This window comes from Homo sapiens, chromosome 11, assembly GCF_000001405.40.
Source record: "Homo sapiens chromosome 11, GRCh38.p14 Primary Assembly".
In the NCBI taxonomy this organism is placed as follows: domain Eukaryota; kingdom Metazoa; phylum Chordata; class Mammalia; order Primates; family Hominidae; genus Homo; species Homo sapiens.
In genome coordinates this window covers 119,834,314-119,859,177 of record NC_000011.10, presented here as the reverse complement: position 1 = coordinate 119,859,177, position 24,864 = coordinate 119,834,314, and the positions used below count along the sequence as shown (strand labels likewise).

At 50.5% G+C, this 24,864-nt stretch overlaps 1 long non-coding RNA gene across 2 annotated transcripts in view, besides 2 other annotated features; it reads right to left on the bottom strand.

Annotated features, from left to right (window-relative positions):
• Positions 1–24,864, bottom strand: part of LOC124902771 (uncharacterized) — a 34,803-nt gene that overhangs the window by 8,507 nt on the left and 1,432 nt on the right. The window contains exon 1 of one of the 2 annotated variants that reach the window (XR_007062921.1): positions 4,297–4,398. The exons of the other annotated variant lie outside the window; for it this stretch is intronic. This is a non-coding gene — a long non-coding RNA (uncharacterized LOC124902771). Of the gene's footprint in view, positions 1–4,296; positions 4,399–24,864 lie in introns of those variants that run through there. 2 annotated transcript variants of the gene reach the window in all.
• Positions 18,833–19,332: an enhancer, noted in NCBI's record as "H3K4me1 hESC enhancer chr11:119710555-119711054 (GRCh37/hg19 assembly coordinates)". NCBI's record gives its function as "activates a minimal SCP1, AML or CMV promoter by ChIP-STARR-seq in primed H9 embryonic stem cells {active_cell/tissue: H9 hESC(primed)}" and the evidence as "EXISTENCE:reporter gene assay evidence [ECO:0000049][PMID:30033119]".
• Positions 24,586–24,768: a silencer, noted in NCBI's record as "fragment chr11:119705119-119705301 (GRCh37/hg19 assembly coordinates)". NCBI's record gives its function as "represses an EF-1alpha promoter that drives an FKBP-Casp9 reporter gene in an ReSE screen in K562 erythroleukemia cells {active_cell/tissue: K562}" and the evidence as "EXISTENCE:reporter gene assay evidence [ECO:0000049][PMID:32094911]".

The window sequence follows — 24,864 nt, the reverse complement described above, 5'->3', positions numbered from 1 at the left end:
GATGCTACCCCAAAAGCCTTGTCCCTGCCCCCTCATCCTAACCCTGCTTCACTGTCTGGTCCAGCTGCAGAGGATACTGTCCTAGAATCCAGCCCTTTTGGAACCTGGCAGCACCTTTCCCTTTGCAGTTCAGGTGGTCTGAAGACTTTGCTCAGTGTGAGTTTCCCACCCAAGTGGGAGGATGGATGGGGTAGAAGGACCATGAGACCCTGACCTGGGACGGGGGACTCCCCTCCTTTGCACATATTCGCATGAGTTCACACTTGGTGTCCTTCACCAAGTGAAGTCAGATTTTTCACTCCCCTTCTAGGATACATGGGGCTGAAGCCAACCTGCTCAGCTCGGCCCCTCAACCAAGAAGACATGAGTTCTCTTTGGATATACCGCTCTGTTTTTCTCTGTGCCTTTATCTTCCTCCTTGACTTCCATGCCTTCAGCAGTTTTAGGTCTGTCCTAGTTCCCTGTGGAATAAGAGGTCCCTGTCTCCCTATACCTCTGGCTTCATAATCCAGGCACGAAATAAGTCCAGCTCAAGCCCGTGCTTGCCAGTTTCCGCACCTCCATCTGACTCTGATCCCAGCTCCCTCTGTGTGCTTCGCTGTCTCTCTCAGACTCCCCGTATGTCTCTTTCTCTTGCTCCTCCTCGTCTCTGTCTCCCTCCCTCCCTGCCTCTCCCCTAAGTTGCTGTGTTGTCAAGTATTTCCACCGTCAGCACTTGCCGAGTTGAAAGTTCTTCCGCATGTGCAGCAAGCCTCGTGGGCAGGCTGGGTAATGTCTGTTTTACCCTCTCTGTAATGAATCCCATCTTCTCCTCTTCTCAGTGATGGTTATTGATTCTGTCTTGACACCTTGGTTTGTTTTCTGCCGGCGCCTGCCTTCCCTTCATCTTGCTGTGGCCATTTCTCCACTCTTATCTGTAATTTCCTCTCTTGTTACGGCTGCCTCCCTCCTGGGCTGGTGTAGCACCGGGGCCGGAGTTTTGTATTAACTCGGCAGTGCAGCTCCATCAGCCCTTCTGTGATGGGGTGAGTTTGGGTGGTGGCCGAGAACAGGCACATAATGACAGCAGGAGGAGGGGAGAAGATATCTGGAGCCAGGCCCTCCTCATACCGGGTGTTCTAAAGCAGAGCTGGGGCTGTGCTGCGTTCCCCTTCTTAGACACTTCCTGTGGTTCCCCTTGACCCCCCAACAAAGGATGTAAAGCTCATCTGGGGAAGAGTCCTTCGCAGCCTCTCTCCAATCTGCCTCATCCCCAGCCTACTCTCTTAGAACCACAAACTTCCCACTGCAGATGCACAGGACTGGCTATCAGTGATTTCCTTCCACACCCCCAGGCCCTGGCTCTGTTTATGCTGTTCTCCCTGCCTAGTGTGCTCCTCCCCACCTCTCACTCTATTTTTCACCTGAAAAACTCCTATTCATCCTTCAAGGACCAACTCCAATATCATCCCTTCTGGGATGACTTCCCTGGCAGGCCCCATGCCTGCACTAGCTCAGAGCAGAGCTAAATCTTCTCTTCACTGAGCTCCCACAATTCTTTATACAAAATGATAATTACTTGCATCCCTGGCTTCTGCAAGAACAGGCTAGGTCTTAACCAGGGAGGTACTCAGGAAAAGTATGTCAAGTAGACTTGAATGGAGTCTTCTGGGTCACTACAAATACTCTCCCAAGGAGGTAGGTCAGAATTTGCAGTGGTTCTAGCACGCACTAACTTTGCTGAGGCATGGATGTGGACCACGGGAACTTGGATGAGTCTGGAGCAAGGCTCCGGGTACACACCAAGCTGCTCTGATATAGAGGTCTGCCAGAAACCAGCAGCTCTCTCCATAGGATGACATCATTTGTGGCTGCGCCCTGGAGCTACGATCAGTGAATGATCAGTGCCCAGAACTCTGCACCTTCTGCAGAGCCCGGGGCACAAGGCACTGAATGGATGGGCTAAATGAAGGACTAGAGCACAGGGTCCCTGAAATCAAAGCCCATGGACTTCCTTCCACCTCTGCTGCCTGGCACAAGCTTAGGCCCTGGGGCCTGGAGTCTGCCCTCTCCAATCTTTCCCACCTCCCTCCTTTGCTCTCTTCTCTCCCTGCAACCCCTGCAGCCTGCAGTGTCCTCACTTGGGGCTGACTGCCTGGCAGCTTCTTCCGGGACTGTGTAAGCAGCTGCTTCTGCAGGCATTAGCATTCCATGGATTAACCAGGGCTGCATGGTGGAGAAGGAGCCTGAGATCACCTGGGGTGGGCGGCTCACTTCACAGGCAAAGAGGGAAGAATTTGGGGTTCATCTTAAGGTATTTTGACCATACCAGGAGAGGAAGAAGACACATCTCCTCTGCCCCCAGGCCCTGGGGCTCCACGGAGCTTTCCTGGGGAGGTGCCAGTAACATTTTGTGAATCCCCTGGCCCTGGTGAGTGGCCCCAGAAGGTGGATGTCAGGTGACCAAAAAGCTCGTGGGGTTCTTCTTGGCATGGGGAGGATAGAACCCTGGAAAGAAGGGGTGATCACTTGAGGCTGACCATGCGTTGAACACTCTCAGTCAAGCCTCAGGCAGGTGTATAATTCAGGAACCACATCCTTTTAGCAGATACAGAAGTGGAGGCTAAGAGGGATCAGGTTATTTGCCCAAAGTCACACAGCTGGTAAGTGACTCAGTTTCAATCCCAGGTCTCTCAGACTCTAAGGTCGGTGCTCTTTCCATTACCCCTGTTCCCTGGAGTTCTCAATCCTGTGGCAAGCCTCAATCCTGATGTCACCCCTACCTTAAGCATTTTGCCATGGTACCCACATTCCAAGATGGCCCTCATTGATCCTCTTGGAATTCAGACCTGCATAGTCCCCTCCCACATTGGATCAGGGATGGACTGTGTGACCCATAAAATACAGTGCAAGTAATGGTGTGTGACTTCCAAGGCTAGGTCATAGAAAGCACTGCACCTTCTGCCTTGGCCTCTTGGATTGCTCGCTCTGGGGAAAGCATCTACCATGTTAGGAAGGAACTCAAGCAGCCCTGCAGAGCGCCCACATGAGAGGAACCGACTTGCCAGCCGTATGAATGGACCACCTTAGAAGTAGACCTACCAGCCCCTATCAGGCCTTCAGATAACTTCAGCCCCAGCAAGATCTTGACTGCAACCTCCTGAGAAACCCTGAGTTGAATGCCCCAGCCACACTGCCCCAGAGCACCAGACACTGTGAGAGATAACCAATGACTGTTGGAGTTGTAAGCACTACGTTTTGGAGTGATTTGTTACATGGCAGTAGATAGCTAATAGATCTGCCCTCCCTGAGACACAGGGCACTCATGTTTTCATAATGTCCTAGGCAGAGCCACCAGGCCAAGGGCTGGACAGTTCTTGGCTTCTTCTAAGGTTTCTTTATCTCCATGTAGGAAAAGCCCTGGAGACACTGAAGCCAGAGAGCTTTTTTGTCCAGAGACTCTTCACTCTTCTTAGGGAGGGACAAGTGAGACAAGAGACAGGAAGAAGGAATCCCTCAGATCTCATCAGAAAAAGTGTCTCTTTCCCTCCCTAATGAAGATAAATCCCAGGATCTGAGGAGACACTAAATGGATATGAATGAACTGGCAGTGCAATCAGATGGAGGTGTTTTCTTGAGATCTACAGCTGATGAATTCCTGCCCCAGCTGACACCCAGCCTGCTGTCCCTGGAGAGGTCCCTGGAGACCCCTGAGTGACACCTCCCTGTCGGGGAACTCTGGTGTCACCTTAAAGAGACTCTAGCCTCTCTTCCCTGGTCTCTCCCATGTCTAGCTGGAGTCCTAAGGGATGTTTTGGAAACACTATGTTGGCCACCACAATATCAAACTCAAAGGCTGCAGAATGGACTGGCACTCAGCCCCACACCCTGGCATGTTATTAAGTTTCCATAAACTCCACCAGGCAAAGAAGGCCCATGTCACTGTTTTGACTCCCTCTTGCTCTACAGTGGAGGGCAAAGGAAGACTTATTTTTAGGCTGGTACGTTTTGTTCTTATTTGCAAGGCTGCCTTAGAAAGAAACATCTGATTGGTTTATTGGCTTCTGATTGGTTGAGTGCCTTCTTTATCCCCTGCCTTTAGATATTGAAGTTTGTGTTTGTCATGTGATGGCTAGAGACCCTACCTCTGCTTCCAAGAGGGGCACAGGCTATTTCTGGTTCTCGGGCTTTTCAGAACAAGCATCTGGGAGCTGTAAGGGTTTGGGGAATGGTTCTAACCAGGCTCAGAGACCCCATCTCCCTTTGTCTCCAAGCAATGAGAAAGCATTAGAAAGCTCATCCCACCCCCTTTCATACCTGTCCTAGTTGATCACATGCCACCTTTTTCCACAAGCAAGTTTCCTTGCCCCGGCACCCTCCTGCTGCAGCTCGGTCCCCTGGTACCTGCGCACAGCATCTGTCTGCTTATTTACTTTCACTTTCTCTGCTTGCCCGGCTGCACCAACCAACATGTTGTTTATCCTTGCTCAGGCCTGTCCCTACGGCATCTCTGGATCATGCTTGTCTTGCTAGCCCTTTGACCTCAAGGAACACATCACGGCTGCCAGCGAATTTGCTCTTTGACAACATTTTCCATAGCAGCACCTGTGTCTCTGCAACACTGGGGTCTTGGGCCCACTGCCCTGGAGGAGGCAAAGGGAGCTGCCAGTCCTTTCTTCAAAAGTGTCTGGGGAAAGGCAGCCCCTTAGTCTTATCTGCTACCCGCTGTGGATCATTTATGCAAAGTCCTGCCCTGTGGAAGGGTCTTTGAGACTAGCAGGGCAGAGACCCCGGGGACGAGTGGTCCTATCTGGCATTATGAGCAGGAATGGAGTGGAATGAGCAGGGACCTGGCAACAGGGCAAACCCTGGCTTGGTTATTCCCAACTTTACTTATGTCTCTGCATCTCAATTTCATCCACTGGGAAGTGGATTTTATCTACTGCACAGAGGAGTGAAGGAAGGCATGGAAACAGCTAGTGAATAGTGACTTTGTAGCAAAGAGTAGCAGTGATGACAACTGCCAAGTCAGAGTGGCCCTGCCCACACTGAGAACCAGGGAACTGAAGAAGCCGCAACGTCCTCACCTTGCAAGCACTGCTCAAAAAGCAGCTCACCTGAGTCAGACGAGGAGCAATCGATAGAAACTTCTCTCTAGGCGGGGTTTGGTCTCTTAGGCCACACATAATCCCAAGACCTCGTGTTCCAACCCCACATTTACCAGCAGACAGAATTGAGGGCAGCAACTGGCCCACAGAGGGCAGCGACTGGCCCACGGTCACCCTGTCCCCCGGTGGAACCTCAAGTCTCTGACACCCCATTGCCACCTAGCCACAGGCTACGCTGGCTCCCACTCACAGGCCACAGAGGCAGAGCTGCTCCTCAGGGACTCCGTCAGCAGGAGTGATGAGGGCTCTGCGGGCCGGCTCCCTGAGCCAGCCTGTCTCTCCAGACCACATTCTGGGGAATCCTCCAAGGCCCAAAGACTATTGCTCAAAGAGCGGTCGTTTAAGAAGAAATCATTAAGCCAGCCATGGTGGTGCACACCTGTAGTCCCAGCTACTCAGGAGACTGAGGTGGGAGGGTGGTTTGAACCCAGGAGGTTGATTCTGCAGTGAGCCCTGATTGCGCCACTGCACTCCAGCCTGGGCAACAGAGTGAGACCCTGTCTCTAAAACAAACAAACAAAATCAAAAAAGAAGAAACCATTAGTATGTGGGAAGCCCCCCAGAAGAAAGCCATTCCTGCCTGATACAGAACCATCTACAGTTCCTACTGGGAGCCTCTCTGTGATGTAAAATCTATCTCCTCCCATCAAAGGAGAGAGGAGGAATGGGTGGGAGGTGGTGGGCCATGGGGCCAATAGAGGTGGCCCTGGGAGGAGGGGGAATGTGCCCCCACTGAGCTGCTCTGAGGGGCAGAGCCCAGAAGTTCTCAGGTTGTGAGCCTGAGGGTCTGAAACTCCATTCTCAGGTTCCAGGAAGGTGGTGACTCTTCTCCTAAATATACAGAACCCAGCCCTCCTCCCCCACCATAGTGCTGGATGTGCTAGCACCAGACAGCTTTGATCTGAGCTCTCAGAGATGCCCAGGAATAGTCTCTTGCACATGAAGGAGACAGAAACTCTCAGCTGAAGGTGGGAATTGGACAGGGAGAGTGGAGAGGGAGATTGGCTGGGGCATGGGAAATGCTACTCCAGCCCCTAGTTTTGCCCCAGGGCAGGGAAGGAGGACAGAAGCAGCTCAGAGGCCCAAAGCTGGAGCACTTGGAACCAGACCAAAGTTACTGAGGAAGAGAAAGTGACCCTTGCCCCTACCCCCAGGCAGATTCGTAAGATTTGCCTAATGGTGATCCAGGCCTGGGTATAGTGCTTCCTATGCCCTGACACCAGCCCTCTGTCCTGTCGTGTGTGCAGGACAAGCACCATGTCTTATTTTGCAAATAAGGAGACCAAAGCCCAAGCTGATTAAACAGCTAGCCCAAGGTCCCCTAAACATATATGTGAGCACTTGCACACACACACACACACACACACACACAAAAGAGAAAGAGAGAAAGAGAGAGAGACAGGATCTTGCTCTGTCATCCAGCCTACAGTGCTAGAGTGCAGTGGAGCGATCTTGGCTCAATGCAGCTTCTCCTCCTGGGCTCAAGCGATCCTCCGGCCTCAGCCTCCCAAGTAGCTGGGACCACAGGTGCTCACCACCATGTCCAGTTAATTTTTTCTGTTTTTTGTAGAGACAGGTTCTCACTATGTTGCCCACGCTGGTCTCAAACACCTGGACTCAAGCAATCCTCCCACCTCAGCCTCCCAAAGTGTCAGGATGACAGGAGTAAGTGACTGTACTCAGCCTAATTTGATTTAATTTAATTTTTTAGAGATAGGGCCTCGCTTTGTTGCCCAGGTTGGTCTTGAACCCCTGGCTTCAAGCAATTCTCATATTTCAGCTTCCAAAAGTGTTGGGATTACAGGCATGAGCCACTGTGCCTGGCCTTCTATTTATTAGTTATATTTTCCTCTGATTCGCAAGCAGTTTGAGGAAGCTTGTATCAAAATGCTTTGAATTTATTCCTTCCATAGACATTTGGTGCTCTCTGTGTGCCTGGCATTGCCCTAGACTCCAAGGAAAATGAGGACAGACAGAATCTCTGCTTCTGGAGAGCTTGTGGTCTGGCATATTGTACTCTTGTGGTAAGTTCTGTGCAGGAAAGTGAGTAAGTAACAGTACTAGTGAGCAGGGGAACCTGGCCTAGGAGGTGGCATCTAAGCAGGCATGAAGGCCTGAGGCAAACCTGGGTTTGGTGTGTTCAAACTGTGAAGAGAAGTGCCCAGTGGCCCAGGTGCTGTGTGAGGGGAGAACAGTGCAAGCTGAGAGAACAGGGCAGGGCCCACTTTGGAGATCTCCGTGGTGAGCAGTTACAGTGTATACTTAGCAGAATGGGAGGTCTGAGGGGGGCAACTGGCAGGATCCCAGGACATTTTAGAAGGATACTTCCTGCTGCCTGGAGAATGGGCCATGGGGAAGCAAGAATGGAGGCAGTTTGGACAACATGGCATACCTCGTCTCTACAAAAATACAACAATTAGACGGGTGTGGTGGCGCATGCCTGTGGTCCCAGCAACTTGGGAGGTTGAGGCAGGAGGATCGTTTGAGCCCAGAAGGCAGAGTGACAGCAAGTTGATATTGCACCTCTGCACTCCAGCCTGGGTGACAGAGAGAGACCCTGTCTCAAAAAGAAAGAAAGAAAAAGAGAGAGAGAGAGCAAGGGAGGGAGGGGGAGAGAGAGAGAAACAGACAGAGAGGGAGGGAGGGAGGGAAGGAAGAATGAAGGTGGCTTCTGGCAGATGAGAGAGGATGGTGATTGAACTAGGGGAATGGCAGGGGATCTGGAGAGAGAAACAAGAGGGCAGTCTCAGGGGCCTGCAGAGAAAGGGCAGGAGAAGAACATGGGGAGACCCTTCACACCAGCAGCCCCTGGACAGCTCCTCAAGGGTGAGGACGGAGGGTGGAGGAAACCCTGTTGGAGTTAAGCCATCCAATAGGGCCAGCTAACTTAGAGCACCCTTGTGAGTGCTCCTAGAGAGACCCAGGCTTTCAATCACCTGTTGCTGAGTAATAATAACTCACTTTTCCATTACAGGAAGGACAAGGAAGCATGGTTTAAGGCAAGGATGACATGCACACAGCACTTCCACACCCATACCCGTGGCAGACATCACTAATCAATCATGCCATTCCTTCTGGTGAGCGCAGACTCAGCTTCACTGCCTTTCCCAAAGTAGTCCTCCAGGCAGCCCTTCCCAATCACCTGGTGATGGCACAGCGTTAACCTATTCGTCATTCCCAGTGCACAGGAATGAGCACTGAGGCTGGAGCCCAAAAGACTCAGGTTTAGCTCTGCTTCTGCCATTTAGTTGCTGTGTGTCTGTGGACAATTTATTTAGCCCCTTTGAATTTCATTTTCCCATCTGTTAAAGTGAATCATTATTCCTAGGTCACATGTTTGCCGTGAGGACTAAATGAGATAATATACAAAAGCACTTAGCTTAGTTCTGGTACAGGTAGGCACCAATAAATGTTTAAAAAAATAGCCCCCCTTTGCCCCACCCACATTTATACCCCCAGATGTTCACAGACTAAACACTCCTACACGCTCTCTGACAGTGCCCATTCAGGCACACACTTACACACAAGGGCACACACTCACACAGTGCAGAAGAGGATAAAAAAACATTATCCTAACAGCTGGCAGTGGAATTGATCTTAGGGAGGAAAGTGTCTTTTGTTCAGGAAACTACCTTGATAAGCCTCTGAGGATATGGATTAGCAAAAGTCAAGGAAACAAAAAGATGGCTGAACTGCTCTGCATTGAAATTGAGACAAAATTTGGGGGCAGGGGAAAGAAAGAAAGCCCAGCAGGGTGGGTGCTGCAGAGAACCAAGGTGGAAGACAGAGGCAGAGGACTTTCTAAGGATGAGTGTGTCAAATATTCAACATGGAACTGCTTGCAGATTTTGAGATATGAAACCTCTCTGTCTCAAAAAGAGACTGCATGATTCCATTTGTATAGAAACATCTAGAAAATGCAAACCAATTCATAGTGATCAGTGGTTGCCCAGGGTGAGGAGAGGAGGAAACTTCTGGGGATGGTGCCCTTGTTAACACACACACCTAACACCAAGCACCTGCAGCCTCTCCTCTTTGCCTTGCACCCTAAAGTGAGGCCCTCCCACCTCTTGGGGCTGTGAGCCACGTGTCAGGGAAGAGGAACCTCTTGACTCAGGTTCAGAGGAATGTGTGTATATCTATATGTGTATATCTAAATAGAGATCTAGATCTAGATGTCAAAACTTGGCAAATTGAACACTTGAAATATGGACAGTTTTTTAAATTATACCTTAATACACTGTTAAGATGTTTTAAAAAGTGGTTTATATCAATTCAATCCAAATATTTTTGTTTCTCATGCTTTTACATGTGCTATTTTTTCCCCACCTTTCAACAGATACTGACCCCCCAAAACAGTTTCTTTTGTCCCACACCACACCTTCAGTCCAGTCTGACGCTGATGTTAATGCCTTATGGGAATTGTTTTGGGGTCGAATGTGAAGGAGAGATTGAATCCTACATCTAAGTCAAACTGCAGCTGTGGACCAGCATGAGGAAATGTATCCACAAGCTGAACAAATTCAGCACGAGCATCAGCTTGGAGCCAAGACCCTCATGAGAACTCAAGCTCACTCCCCTCTCTGGAAATTCTTAGAAATCTCAGGATAAAACATTGAACTTCCCTAGGATATGAAAAGGGAGTTCCAGCCAGCATCATAGGTCCCAGTTGACACGTGTGTTACATACACAGACAGAAACACACCCGGGCACTCAAAACACACATGCCCAGCACCAAGCACCTGCAGCCATTCCTCACTGCGCCCTAAAGCAAGGCCCTTCCACCTCTTAGGGCTGTGAGCCACATGTGTGGGGAGAGGACATGGCTCTTGACTGAACTGTGTTTACTCTCTAAAGAAACTTTTCAGAAATGCAAAGATGGGGCAAAGGTGGGAAGTCAGCCTCCTTGACAAACACAGGTATGCTGAGATCCTTTCTTTTTTTTTTTTTTTTTTTTTTTTTTTTTTTGAGACGGAGTCTCGCTCTGTCGCCCAGGCTGGAGTGCAGTGGCGCAATCTCGGCTCACTGCAAGCTCCGCCTCCCGGGTTCACGCCATTCTCCTGCCTCAGCCTCCCAAGTAGCTGGGACTACAGGCGCCCGCCACTACGCCCGGCTAATTTTTTGTATTTTTAGTAGAGACGGGGTTTCACCGTTTTAGCCGGGATGGTCTCGATCTCCTGACCTCGTGATCCGCCCGCCTCGGCCTCCCAAGCTGAGATCCTTTCTCTTTTCTTTTTTTTCTTTTTCTTTTTCTTTTTTTTTTTTTTTTGAGATGGAGCCTCGCTCTGTCGCCCAGGCTGGAGTGCCATGGCACGATCTTGGCTCACTGCAACCTCCGCCTCCCAGGTTCAAGCAATTCTCCTGCCTCAGCCTCCTGAGTAGCTGAGATTACAGGCGCCCGCCACACACCTGGCTAATTTTTTTTGTATTTTTAGTAGAGACAGGGCTTCACCATCTTGGCCAGGCTGGTCTTGAACTCCTGACCTCGTGATCCACCCGCCTGGGTCTCCCAAAGTGCTGGGATTACAGGCATGAGCCACCACACCCAGCCTTTCTCTTAGGATCATCAAGTCAGTCCATTCTAATCAACCTCATAACACACTTCGTGGCAATATTCCTTCAAGCTGGCCCAATAATCATCAAAAAACGTGAGGTCAGTTTGCTCCTGGCAACGCCTGGCATTGCTGCAGAAGTTCCTCAGCTCTGCAAGGTGTTGTGCTCCAGGAGGCAAACATCGCCCCAGCCCCTCACGCCTCTGCCTCTTCCCTCTCCCTCCCCTGCCTCCCAACACCACTCCTTGGAGCACCACGCAGAAACCAAATCAGCTGCTCCTTCCGAGGGGATAATCAAAGTGCAGGTCTCTGGAGAGGACCAGCTCTGTGGAGCAAGTCTTTAATTTCAAGCTGACAAGGTTGGGAGCATGTGCCATGGGCTTTTCCATAGGCAAGACAGCCGGATGGCCAGGGAGCACAGCTGGTGAGCAGGAGAAGGGGAGGGCAGAGGGGGAGGGCTGGATAGGAGCCACAGGCAGCTTCCCAGGTGGGCAAAGGGCCTCTGTGCTATGGAAGTCTGTTTGCTCTCTGCAAATTTGAGCTGTAGGCATCTCCCGACATCACCCAGAGGGATGTCCACAGCTGCAAGTGTGGCCCTTGTCTGCCCAGAAGGCTCAGGAGCTGGAGGAAACCCTGAAGGGCAAGCCTCTGGCCCAGGATCACACATGTCTTTGAGAGGAGAGGTGGGGCCCTGAATACAGACCTGGGTGGAGCTTCAGGGCTCCTCAGGCTCCTGAGCCCAAATGGCAGGGCTACCTTGGGAGCAAGGCCTCACTGAGATGAAGAAACCAAGACTGCAGAAAAATTTCAAGTGCTCAGAAGCAGGTGTTGCTGGGGCTCTTGTCATCATCCTGTCATCAAGAGACAACAGGTCCAGAGAGGGTAGGAATTCTGCTCCAGATCACAAAGCAAGGCCATGAAGAAACCAAGGGTAAAATATATTCTCTTTGACATTCACGAATAATACATCCCAAGACCTTGGTGAGGCCTCCATTTCCCAAATAAAAAATTGAACTGGTTGGACAACACCATTGCCCCACTGGGCTGCAGCAGCTGGGCAGCCCCTAGCCAGCTCAGACACCCTGCACACACTGCTCAGTTGTTCAAACCTAGCCTCAGCAGAGGGACAGATTTATTACTGCATGGGCCTTCAGTGCACTACCAAAAAGCTGAACGCGCAAATAGCACCCCAGCAAACCAGCCGTCTTTCCTACAGCCCTCTCCTCTCCTGGATCAGTGACCTAACCATTGGCTCCTGCCATGCTGCATTGGGCTGGGGATCAGGAGGGCCCCTGTAGGCAGGTGAGTAAAATCAGGAGGGAGAGGCAGCCACCTGGGAGCACAGCCCCAACTCTGAGCCCAGAAATATGCTGCCTCCCTTCCCCTCACCTCATCCACCAATGCTGGGCCTGAGCTTCATGCATCAGAACCAACAACTTGGATGCCATCCTTTGGGAAGCCTTCCCCCTTTTCCAGGTTCACAGATGTACTGTGTTCCCATTCCATATCATTTGGGCTCCTTGTACTTCTAGGATCTAAGCACCTGGCACAGTGTCTGGCCTTGGCGAGTGCTTAGGATTTGCTGACTAAATAAAGCTAAACATGTATGTGAATCGGGCTCCCTGCACCCTGGCCCCTCTCTGAGCCTCGCTTTCCTGCTGCGGAGGGTGGTTGGGGGCAGGGGTGTTACTTTCTATCACATGGAATCAGCGCTGGCCAGTGGGTCTGGATCTAGTAGACAGCTAAGGACTGAATGGTTTCCCTCTCAAAATCCATCTGTTGAAGCCCTAACCTCCAATGTGATGGTATTTGCCTTTGGGAGGTGATTAGGTTTAGATGAGGTCATGAGGGTGGGGCCCTCATGATGGGATTAGTGCCCTTGTAAGAAGAGACCACAGAGCTTGCTCGTGCTCTGTTTCTACCATGAAAAGATGGCCATCTGTATGCCAGGAGGTGGCCCCTCACCAGGAACTGAATCATCCGGCACTTTGATCTTGGACTGCCTGACCTCCAGAACTGTGAGCAATAAATGTCTGTTGTCTAAGCCACCTGGTATGGGGTATTTTGCTATAGCAGCCTGGACATAGCCCTGTAAGATACAGTGGTAACTTCCCCCTGACATATCCTAAAGCCATATTACCAGAGTCTTCGCCTTGTCTGTGAACAGAACTGTGACTACTGAGGCGAAAATGCACTGGGTGGGTGCCCAAAACCTGGGTTCAAGAGCCAGTCCTACTGTTTATCAGCTCCATGACCTCAGGTAAGGGATGGAATCAGAGTGCCCCAGAGATGACATCCACAAGACCTCAGTGTCCCCATCTTTTGCTCAGGGATACTGTGAGTGAGGCTCCCGTGGGACCATGTGCAGGTATGTGCCTGGAAAGCAGAATGCACTGTGGGAATGTGCAAGAAGCTGAGGTCCAGCCGGCTTCACAGCAGACCTGTTGGAGGAGGCTCCTCAGGCTGGCAGTGTACAGCTCTGAGCCCTGGAGCAGTTTTCTCTCTACCATTCCCCACCCACCCACATTCCTCGGACCTAAGAATCCACCCACTGTCTATAGCATGTTTGGGCCTGTCCACTTGCTTTGTTAGACACCTCTGGGAAGCGTGTCTTGTTTCTGGGCTCCACCAGAAACCTCTAGAAGGCATGTTTGGGTCTATCTTTGTGTCCTCTGGAGTCAATTTGACTTGATCACCCTCTGCTCTCTGAAGTGACCCAGCCATGCCCCATTTGGAGAAGGGGGGTTCTCTTTGCTGCAGGAACCCCCACCAAAGCCTGCCCTTGGCATTTGGTACTGCTAACGGCAAACAGCCCTGTCTTCCCAGGATGGTGGGATCAATAGGCGATGGCCTGGAGCAAGTCCTCAGTGGCCTTTCCAGGCCCGGCACACTCTGCTGCCACCTGTGCCCACAGGCCCGCACCACCCTGCCTTCACCAGCCATGCGGCACTGCGGGGTGCACCTCCCTAGGTCCTGACTGATGGAATAAGATGTGACCTCCAATGCTCAATGACACGGGGCTGCTGGAGGCTGCATGGGCCCCCCAACCCAGGAACCCAGCTGCCCCCTTCCTGTGCCCAAGCGTCCCGGTCCCCAGGGAATCAAGGCAGGGGTGTGAGCTGGCCGCTCCTGCCTCTTGCCTTCTTTCCTGGTCTTCAATATTCATGAGCACACCTAGCAGGGGAGCTAAAAATGTTCTGCTCCGAAATCTAACTGCTTTATGGAAGCCTAATTAAATTCTTTGGTGGAAGGGGAAAAAAGTGACCTTCAAAACTGCCAAAGCTATTCGGAGTGGTGTGTCCCAGAAACCTTTCCCCTTCTCTCCCCTCCTGCTGTGGGTGGCCTTTGCTCTGGTGATAAAATTCTCCACCTCCCCCTCAGGCTAAGGGCTCAGGGAGTTCCCTGGGGGTGCTAAGTGTGCCCGATGACAAGATTGCCTCCTATGGAAGAAACACAGCCAGGCAACGATCCTGACTGCTCAGGGGACCAGGCAAGCTCAGCCCTTGCTGGAAACTTGGGTCTCGGCCAGTGGATAGGGTTGGAGGGAAGAGAAATGGCAGTGGGGGATGGGGTTGACTCTGGTGGAGAGAGAATAGCAGTACCCCTTTCCTCCTGGGCAGGTGCTTCTGCAGTATGGTGCCCTAAGAATTTCAGGCTTCCTCCTTCCCTGGGCCACCCTGTCCATGCATCCTGGCAAGACCGAAACAGGGGCCCGGGATAGAGAATAGCCCTTTGCAAACCCCTACCTGGGAGCCTGGAATTGGAGCTCACGCCCAGTTGCTTCTCCTATTCACTGGGGATAAGCAGTCATTTCCCCAGAGGTCAATGAAGAAACCTGCCCTTTTCTGAGGGTTGCCAACTAGTGGGGGTGAAGGGGTCTGAATCTCCCACCCTCTTCCCTGTGACTTGGCTTCCCGAGAAGGTGGAAGAGATGAGAAGGGGGTGAGGACATGAGCTGCACAGCCCCTCACCTGCACAGTTAGAATTCACCTAGACACAGGCGCGTTCCAGCAGGCTCAGTCAGGGACCCCACAGACCCTCCTCCATGAGAAGTAGGTGGCTGGCTAGAATCCCCCCAGGCAGGAGGTGGGAAGACACCGAGAGGATTAGATCTCCACAGCACAGCAGCATGGGTGCCTGGCACTCCTAGAACCTCAGTGACTATGTGGATGTAAAGGCTCATGCCTGCCTGATAGTTGAGGACAGGGTGGGGCAGGGGCAGGGGGTGGAGGGGCAGGGGGGTCTGAGTGACCAGATGCTTTCTCTTCCATTTTGGGAGGAGGTCATTTTTATCCACTCCAAAGCTGCCTTCTGATTGGTCACCCATGAGTCATTCTCAGGCAGTCACAGCCCAGTGTGATGACTGGTTGCCAGTGACACCTGGCTCTCCACGGGCCTGCTCATTCTGGGATGCATATTCTTCAAAATCACTTTCTAGGTCATTTTGAGGCCCTCAGAACAGACCCTGCTTGGTGTGTGCTGCTTCCGGGTGAGCACACCCAATTCTAGTCCACGCCCAGGCAGACTCGAGAAAGCAGTTCGCCAGGCAGTCTGCAGAGATCAAGGCTGCCGTCTGCTAGGACAGCCAGGGAAGATGCTGCATCCTCCCCTCCTGGCCTCACCTGATCTATGGCCTCTTCCCACTCATTCCTGACTCCTACCTGGGCTGCCCTTTCCCCCTCCTCCTCCCCAAATCCTGCATGCTGCTGTGTCCAGCTTCATGCAGGAGAATTTCCCAGGCCAGGCCAGCTGGCAGTGATTGCCCCTCACCCCTGCCTGGACTCTCAGGCTGAGCAGCTCACTCACTTCACCTCTGAGCCCCTCACGCCCAAGCCCATCCTAAACTCCCCAACCAGATTTTAACCCCAAGGGGCCAATATTCATGCTCTAAATGCCTTTGGGAGCTGCCAGTGTGCCTTTAGAAGACTCAAGTGCTTCATGAATGAATGAATGAATAGTTGAATGAATAAAAGTGGATGAATAAATGAGGAAATCCACTCATTTAAGAAATACTTCCTAAGTACTGTATGCCAGGCATGGGCTGGGTGATGAGGACTCAGAGGATTCCAACAGACCTGCCCCTGCACTCAGGGCCCCTCATCATGCTGGGACAAGTGAGTAAATAAAGAAGGGTGAGGGAACAGGGGAGATGAGAATGAGCAGGGACCAGACAGTGCTCGAATGCACAGGCCTTTGGGGACCCCAACAGTGTCCCCCTGGCTGAGGGGGTTCAGGCCTTGTCTAGACCACCCCCAGGCCTGCTCTCCCTCTCCTGGCTCCCCTGGAGCTGGCTTTCACCAAGGTGTGTTCACACCTCTGCCCCTGCCTTCTCCACCAACCCCCACATCTATTTTGGTGTCTGCACTAGGCCAGCTGATTGCCTCCCCCTGCTCCCAGCTGCTTCCTCTCCCATTCTGCCTTCAGCGGCCTTGAATCAAATGGAAACGCCCAGTGCAGCCCTGTTACCGCCATCTTGGGCTGAGACCCAGCCTGCTCAGGCCTGCACATAGGGGGCCAGCAAGCCCCCATCAGTGGCCCAGCAAGGGGACCTGAGCGGGCTGCCAACCATCCTAAACTCCCCAATCACCCCTCAGGCCAGGGCATGGAGAGGGGGACCTGGAGAAGAAGGAATCAGGCCATGTGCCCCCATCAGTGGGACCAAAGGCCCTGGCAGCCTTCAGAGGGCTCCATCAAATGCCCTTGGAGATGGCCCAGCAAATACACAAATGTTAAAGCATGTTATTCTGAAGAATAACAGTCAATCCTGCTGTGGTGTGTGAGCTAAGGCAAAGTCGCAAATACTTTTTATTAAGATACACTTAATATTGGAACAAAATTGAGTTTGACAGACCTAGGCTTGTCCTACCATTGCTGCCATAGCTTCGTTTAATCTCTTTAGTCCCTTATTCCTGCAACTTTAGTCTTGGCCCTTCTAGCTTCCCTTTAACATGGCGTGTGTGAGAGTGTGTGTGTGTGTGTGTGTGTGTGAAGGATGGAGGGATAGGGAACTAGTGTTTCAATTTTTATGCAAATGTTTCTGATATAATTGTGTGGCTTTGAACCATGAGAAAAGAATATAGGATTCGGAGTTGACCTAGGCTGAGATCTCAATTCCGCCCCATATGAATGCTGTGAGCTTAGACAAGTTCATCTCTGCACCTTCACTTCCATCCATAGGTGTCATAACCTAGCGGATGTTGTGGTCAGCCATGCAGATGCCTTCTCAGGTGCCTCCTGCAGCTGCCTGGCACTACCTGCTGCTGGCTCGCAGTGGAATCCTCTGCAGGAAGGCCTTGGCAGAAAGAAGCTGCCCTCCCCAGCAGTAGGCATCCTCCCTCAGGGTAGGCACCCAAAAGCAGCCTGTCCCAGAAGACTGGTCCATGTGAGACACAGAGGCTTGGCTCTGCTGCCTCTGTTTTACTGAAAGACTATCCCAGCCTCAGCACTGGGATGGGATAAGGCCTTTAACTATGCTTAATTACAACACAGCTCTAAACACAGTTCACCTGCTTCCTCTGGCCAATCTTGCATCCCTCGCTCCCGTACAGATGTTGTTCTCTGGGAGGGCTCCCCAGAAATCTTCCTGCCCACAACACTCTGTCTCAGAGTCTGTTTCCTGGGGGGACCCGACCTCAGAAAGTAGCCAGGCTGTAGTCAGTGAAATATGATAAGGCGTGTATAAAGGCTTAGTGCAGTGCCCAACTCACAGGAGAACTCAATTGATGACGGCTGCTGGGATTCTCCTTGGAGGTCGCTGTTTCTGAACCCTGATGAACATTGAAATCAGCTGTGAAGCTTTTTTTTAAAAGGCCAATTTTTTCCTGAGACACTGATTCAGGAGGGCTGAAATCAGACCCAGTGTTCTGTATTTTAGAAACCCCACAGGTGTTTCTGATGGACAGCCAGGGCCGACAGCCAATGACCTGGGTCATTTTTCTATACCACCATCACCCCTATAATTTAAAGGCAAGAACCACAAACCCATGCAGGGCAAAGTGACCTGTTCAAGGGCAGACAGGTACTTAGTTGCCCAGAGAGGGTTCAACTCATTAATCCTGATTCTCTCAGGGTCAATGCTTGGGTTGTGTGTGTGGTGGGGGGTGCTATAAAAGCCCCTGATCCCAACTCTCTCCAACATAAGCACAGGCAGCTGCATTTATTAAGCAGATCCCAGAACATTTGGCCTAACCAGCAATACAAGCAGTATGTGATCAACCATTGCTTTCACTAGTGCAGGCTGTGAGCTCCCAGAGGAGGAGTCCTCATTGTGGCTGTGGTAGTCAGGGAGGTCTTCAAGGAGGAGGTGAGCCCTGAACCAGATTTTAGAGAACAGTGAGGCTTCAAATAGGGAGCAAGCTGTAAGGATGCCAGACCCCAGGACTGGTCACCTCATTCTGTGTTCAATCCGTTTCTAAGGAAACTAATCCTGATCTGTATTCTCATCATCCTTCTGGCAAGACCGGGGATTTCAGGAGCACTCAGACTCATGGACCAGTGGGCAATAATTTCCCAGGTTTTACAAAAACATATTTTGTTCTAAAGATTAAAACTTAGGTAAGGGTTTGCTTGAAGTTTGATTAACCTGCACTTCATTAGCCCCATTTCTCTTAAGCACTGGAGTTGCACAGCCATGTGGTCACATGGTGTGGTTGAGGTGGAGCTCAGGCTCTACCACTTATAAGCTGTGTGACCTTGGTCAAGTTACTTAACTTCTCTGAGCCTCTATTTGTTCAACCTTAAAATGGAAACAGTGATACTTACCTTCTTCCCTCTCTGGATTGTTAAGAGGATCAAATGGGGTCATGATCTCAAAAAAAAAAAAAAAAAAAAAAAAAAGCACTTCTGTAAATGTCAAAGCACACTACAAGTGAGAGCTGCTACTATTTTCCACATTTATCTTTTGAAACTTGGGATGCAGAAGCCCAGGGAGGTTTCTGCCATTGCTCAGCACCCTACAGTAAGCTATATGGGGAGCAGAGGCAAGACCAAATTCCCCCAAATCCTACTGTAATGCTTTTTCCAATATAGCAGCATATCTATTCCTCAAATCTTTCTTCTCTCTCTAATTTCTTAGGCACTACAGGGAATTGTGCATTCTCACCTTGCCCTAAATTTGTAGTCTTTGATGGCTCGTAATCTTTTGATCCCTTCTGCAGCAGCCTGCTATCCTGTGCCCTTCCCGCCTCTATATCATCTCAAGGGGCTTTCTGTCTATACTCTCTTTACTTTGGACATCCTAAATTCAGCCTGGAACGAGCCCCCACCCAGAAGATGATAACCCCCTCCTCCGTGGGACTCTTTCCTCTCATTTATAACACTGGTGCAATGTTACCTTCTGATTCATTCACAGCAAGGAACTTGGGAAACAGAGTCAAAAAGTAGTCTGTAAAAGGGCCCTTGAGGGCTCAGCACCAGCCCTTGCTGGGCAGCATGACGAGGCCACAATGGAGTGGGGCAAGGCGTCTCCTGGAAGCTGGGGCTGGAGGGCTGTACTCTGATCCCCAACCTCTGCTATTCCTCTGTCCCGATATCTCTGCCTGATCAACTAAATCCTCAGCTGCAGAAACCTCCTGCTGCTCTGTGCCAGCCTCTGGGTCTCTGGTGCCAAACCCTTGGCAGCCCCTTGGCTCCTCACTCCATTCTTCCCACCAGCCCTGCACCCCCTCTCCCCACGGAGACCCCTCCAAGTCCAAGGCCCAGCTCAGGCTCTCGATTCCAGGAGACAGGTCATGTCCACCACCCCGGGGTGCAGTGCGAGCCAAACTAATCAATGGCAGAGTGGTAGATTAAGGGGCCCAGCTCAAAGCCATCCATCACTGTCGTTTACCCGGGCCTGTCAGCCTGCAAATGGAAAAGGAGATGATGTGAAACAACCCATCTGCAGGTTTTTAACGCTCTTTACAAATTGCCGTGGTGAATAACTTGTTGCCTGTATTTATCCCTTTTCAAATTGTCTCTTAGCTACAGTCATCCGTCTTCATTCTACACCCTGATGGTGCGTGCACCGCCAGTTGGGCAACCTCATTATTTCCCTGCTGCTGCTGCCTGGAGGAGGCAGGGGAGGAAGAAAGAGAAGGAGAAGGAATGGAGGAGAGAGAAAGAAGAGAAAGAAGGTGGAGGGAGAGAGAAAGAAAGGGAGTGAGGTGGGGGTGGGAGGGTGGTGGGAGAGGAGAGACTCCAGACAGTGGAACCAGCTTGGGCAAGAACCTACTCAGCTAGGGTTCTTCCCCGGAGGTCCCCACTTCCCTGAGCTCATGGTGAGAGAAAAACCTATCCCCTCTGCCAGGAAGTTTGTGAGCAGGGACTGTCCTCCCCAGAGGGTACCAGATCAGTGGTCAGAATTTCCAGTCCCAGGTCATCGGCTGTGGTCCTTCATCATTCCCACCTCTAAGGAAGAAAGCCTATCTGCCAGGCCAGTTGTAAAGCTTCATCATGCAAAGTCATCTTTCATGTGTCCCCTTCCTCTTCCCACATGCCACGACGTGCTACTTCTAGCTTTCCAATGAGACCCTTCCCTGTGCTTTGGTTTCCACTGCCCTAGGTCTGACTGACATTCCTTCCTCCTCAGCTCGGGGCTGTAGCCTCCTGCAATGGACTGAATGTTTATTTCCCCCGACAAAATCCATATGATGGCATCCTTACCCCCAAGGTGATGGTATTAGGAGGTACGGGTGATTAGGTTATGAGGGTGGAGGCCACATAGATGGGATTAGTGCTCTTATAAAAGAGACCTCAGAGCTCCCTTGGCCCTTCCAGCATGTGAGGACACAGAAGTCCACTGTCCATGAACCAGGAAGTGGGCAAGTGTCAGACCCTGAATCTACTGGCACCTTGATCTTGGACTTCCCAGCCTCCAGGACCATGAGAAATAAATTGTTGTTTATAACCTGCCCAGCCCAAATGGACTAGGACACCTCCTAACTGGTCAGTCTCTCTGCCAGCCCACCTCCTCACTCTCAAGAACAAATGAAAAACTTCTCATAAAGGCCATGTTATTTCTTCACTCTATCAGTGTCTTCCAGTGATCCGTGAGCCTCCTGTATTAGAATCACCTGGCCACCCTGCCCCAGGACTACTGATGCTGTGAGGCAGGGGCTGCATGTTACATGTTTCCTAGCTGGTTAGTGTGCACTGCAAAGGTCGAGGGCCACACCCCAGAAATTTGTTTTGACACACAAGAAACTGGAGACACAGAAAGATGCAATAATTTGCCCAAGGTCACACAGCTAATTGGCAGCTGAACAGGAACCAGTAAACAGGCCTCTTTTCCTACAATCAAGTGCTCTTCCTCCTATAAACAGTTAGATCCTTCCATGAATAACAGTTGTTTGTTTATCCAACTCTGACTCAAACAGAAGCTCCTTGAGGCCAGGGTCCCATGCGCCACTGTACCCCTCCATCCTCCTCCAGGCTTAGCACAGGGTTTATTGGTTTACTTTTGGTAAGACAGAAAAGTGTAGAACAGGATGCATCAGGCCAAGACCACATTGAATTCTTCCTCCAGGGCTCTTGCAGGGTTCAGAGCCTCCCACTTCTTGCTAGGGTACTATGGACCGAACCAAAATCTGCCTGGCTGTCAAGTGCTGAGTTTCTAACACTGCATCTGATATTTCCACTCAGTCTTCCAGGGCAGACCTTTAAATATTTGAAAACAGCTGTCAGGATCCATTTCCGTGTTCTCTCTTCCAGGTTAAAGTCCCAAGCTCCCTCAACCACTCCTTGTCTGGCATGACAGCAAGACCCTGGGGCATCCCAGGCCCCCTCCTCCAAATGCTATCCCATTCGTCAATGTCCTTGCTCAATTGTGGCTCCCAGAATGAAACGCAAGTCTCCAGATGTGGTCTGACCACTGCCAAGCACAGAGGGCCACACCATTATCTCCCATCTTCTGCACTCTGTGCTTTGATTAATATAGTCCAAGATTGCATTGCTTTCCTGGCAGCCTCACCCCACTGTTGGCTCACATTGCTCTTGGTTTGCTAATCCATCTAACTCTATTACTGTCTAATCCACAATTCTCCATCTCGTCCCTGAGGATTACATCAGAGTCCTTACAAAATGCCTTGCTGAAATCCAGATATGCCATGTTCATCGTGCCCTGCACGTCTACCAGTCTAGAAAACCCAGCAGCCGGAGAAAGGAGTTTATTGTGGCGGGACTTCCACTTGGTGAACCCAAGATGCTTCCTAGTGATCGCTCCTTTTCTTCCTACGGGTTCATGAACGATCCACTCAATAATCTTTCTTTTTTCTTTTTTTTTTTATTATACTTTAAGTTCTAGGGTACATGTGCACAACGTGCAGGCTCATTACATAAGTATACATGTGCCATGTTGGCCCACTGCACCCATCAACCTGTCATTTACATTAGATATTTCTCCCAATACTATCCCTCCCCTGGCCCCGCATCCCATGACAGGCCCCAGTGTGTGATGTTCCCTACCCTGTGACCAAGTGTTCTCATTGTTCAATTCCCACCTATGAATTAGAACATACAGTGTTTGGTTTTCTGTCCTTCTGATAGTTTGCTCAGAATGATGGTTTCTAGCTTCTTTAAAGTTCATATGGAACCAAAAAAGAGCCCACATTGCCAAGTCAATCCTAAGCAAAAAGAACAAAGCTGGAGGCATCACGCTACCTGACTTCAAACTATACTACAAGGCTACAGTAACCAAAACAGCATGGTACTGTTACCAAAACAGAGATATAGACCAATGGAACAGAACAGAGGCCTCAGAAATAACACCACACATCTACAACTATCTGATCTTTGACAAACCTGACAAAAACAAGAAATGGGGAAAGGATTCCCTATTTAATAAATGGTGCTGGGAAAACAGGCTAGTCATATGTAGAAAGCTGAAACTGGATCCCTTCCTTACACCTTATACAAAAATTAATTCAAGACGGATTAAAGACTTAATGTTAGAAATAATCTTTGTTTAGTGCCCTCTACAGTGCTTTTCTCACCCAAGGTGCTTGCTCAGTGTCTGGACTGAGCAATGATGACAGGCGGCCTGATTGATCATGCCGGTTGTGAGGTTTATGCTAGTCAACAGGAGCTGCCCGGGGAAAAGCAGAGAGGGGAGTAAGTCCAAAAACCACAAACTCAGAAATGCCCATGGAGGTTGTAAACAGCTTGATAGAGGGACGATGAGTCTCTGGGTTAGAAAATTTATTAACAATGCCGAATGTATTTCACTCTCCCTGCATGATGTTTGATTCAAAGAAAATATGAAAACATTACTGGAATCCCAATTTGCCAAACCATTTCCTTTCTCCTATAATTAGGTACTCTGAATTTTAGTATCATTTTGTGTGTGTGTTTGTTTCTTCTGATTTCCACGGACTATTTTTAGACCAATCATGACTCATTTTTTGAAAGGCGTTAGGAAAAAATAAGTATTTTTCCCCAGCAATCAAATGTTCCTGTCCTCTGGGTGACACACATTTAGGTAAGTCATAGCTGTGTGACAGACTCGCGGGCCTGGGGCAGCGGGAGGAGAGCCCACAGGAGAAAGTCTCCTGATCTGGGGGGAGGACACAATGAGGGGAGGATCAACACAGGAACCTTCAGCCCCCAGCCAGACCCACTGATTCATCCCACCCTGTCCTCCAAAGAGGGAGATAGATCCAGGATCCAGGAGGGCCCAGCCACAGGAGTGCAGATTGCACCAGGACGATGCCGGAGAGGCATCCCAGCCTTGAAGAGCTGCCCCGGGAGAGCCATCAGGCTCATTATTCTTCAAGCAGAAGCAGGAGGGACATGAACAAGTAAGTACAACTAGCTCAGAAAAAGAAAGAGCTAACGATGAGATATTCAACTGTGGGATGAACTACTGGACAAAGTAGTGAGCTCCCCGACTCTGGGAGTGTTGGAACTAAGCTGGTTCTTTCCAAACCTCGATGTCCAAAGCCCCTTCCAATGCTGACTCTGTGGTATCTGCCAGGGAGGCTGCTGGAAGAATTCCTGCTATAAAAGAGAAACTAAGTCACAATGTCCAAAGTCTCGTCCAACATCAGGACTCTGGGAAGAATCAGACCCCTGCATCTATGTCTGCACTTGTTCCCCAAAGCAGAGACAACATGGGGAGGGCTGGGGGGAGTTTCACCTCCTCCATTAGGCCTTCCTGCTGCGATCCATCTGGAGGGGGAAGTCTTTGAATGCTCTCCCCCAGCCTCTGCCACAGTAACACATACCCTTCCCACCTCCCACATGAAAAGGGTTTTACATACAATTTACTAGCTAGACACGGATTCATTTTCCAACTCCGTTTAAGTACTCAGACCTTTTACAGAGACTCTTGTAGACCCAGTTCCTTCTTTCTGGGAGTTTATACTCTAAGATAGACCTGCTGAAACTAACAGGTGTAAAACACACTGCCAACAACAGCAACACAAACCTGTATCAATTCAATGTCCCTGGATGTGAGAGACAGAGAAAAGAAGAGAGAGAACATGTATGCAGGGGAGGGGAAAGTATCAAATTTACTCTGGGCTGTCTCTAAACTACACATGCCCTTTCCTTGCCCACTGAGAGTCTGCCATGCTCCCCTGCCCCACCACACAACATTTAAGAACGCACCCACATGGAGGGCCAATGTTACATGAGAGGAGCCTCAGAAAGGTGGAGAACACTGGAACTTTACAGTTTGCAAATCCCTCTCTCATCCATTACTCTTGGATTGTCCATTCATTCACCAAAGATTTATGCAGTACCTACTGTCTTTGGGCACTGAGAGTACAAGAGTGACTCAAAACAGACATGTTTCCTGGAAGCTCACATGAAGCTCACAGCCTGGTGGAGAAGGCAGACACTCGTAAACAATCACCTAGGTGTAAGTGTGCACCTACAGTACTCTCAGGTGAGTCCAGCAATGGAAAGTCATTTAGTGCTGTGGAGTGTGTAACCCAGGGAGCTGACTTAACCCGGGGCTCAAGGAGGACTTCCTGGAGGAGGTGACATTTGAGTTGGGATCTGAAGGATGAAGGATGGGTAATCAGGTGACAAGACCGAGCCTGCACTTTGGAGGTCTGAAAGATACAATCTCCCTGTGAAGGGCATGCGTGGTTCACCCAAGAAACATGGAGCTCCTACACACATGTCAGGTGCTGCAGGGCACTGGAGACACGTGGTGTCCCAGATAGACAGCCCAGCCCTCCTGA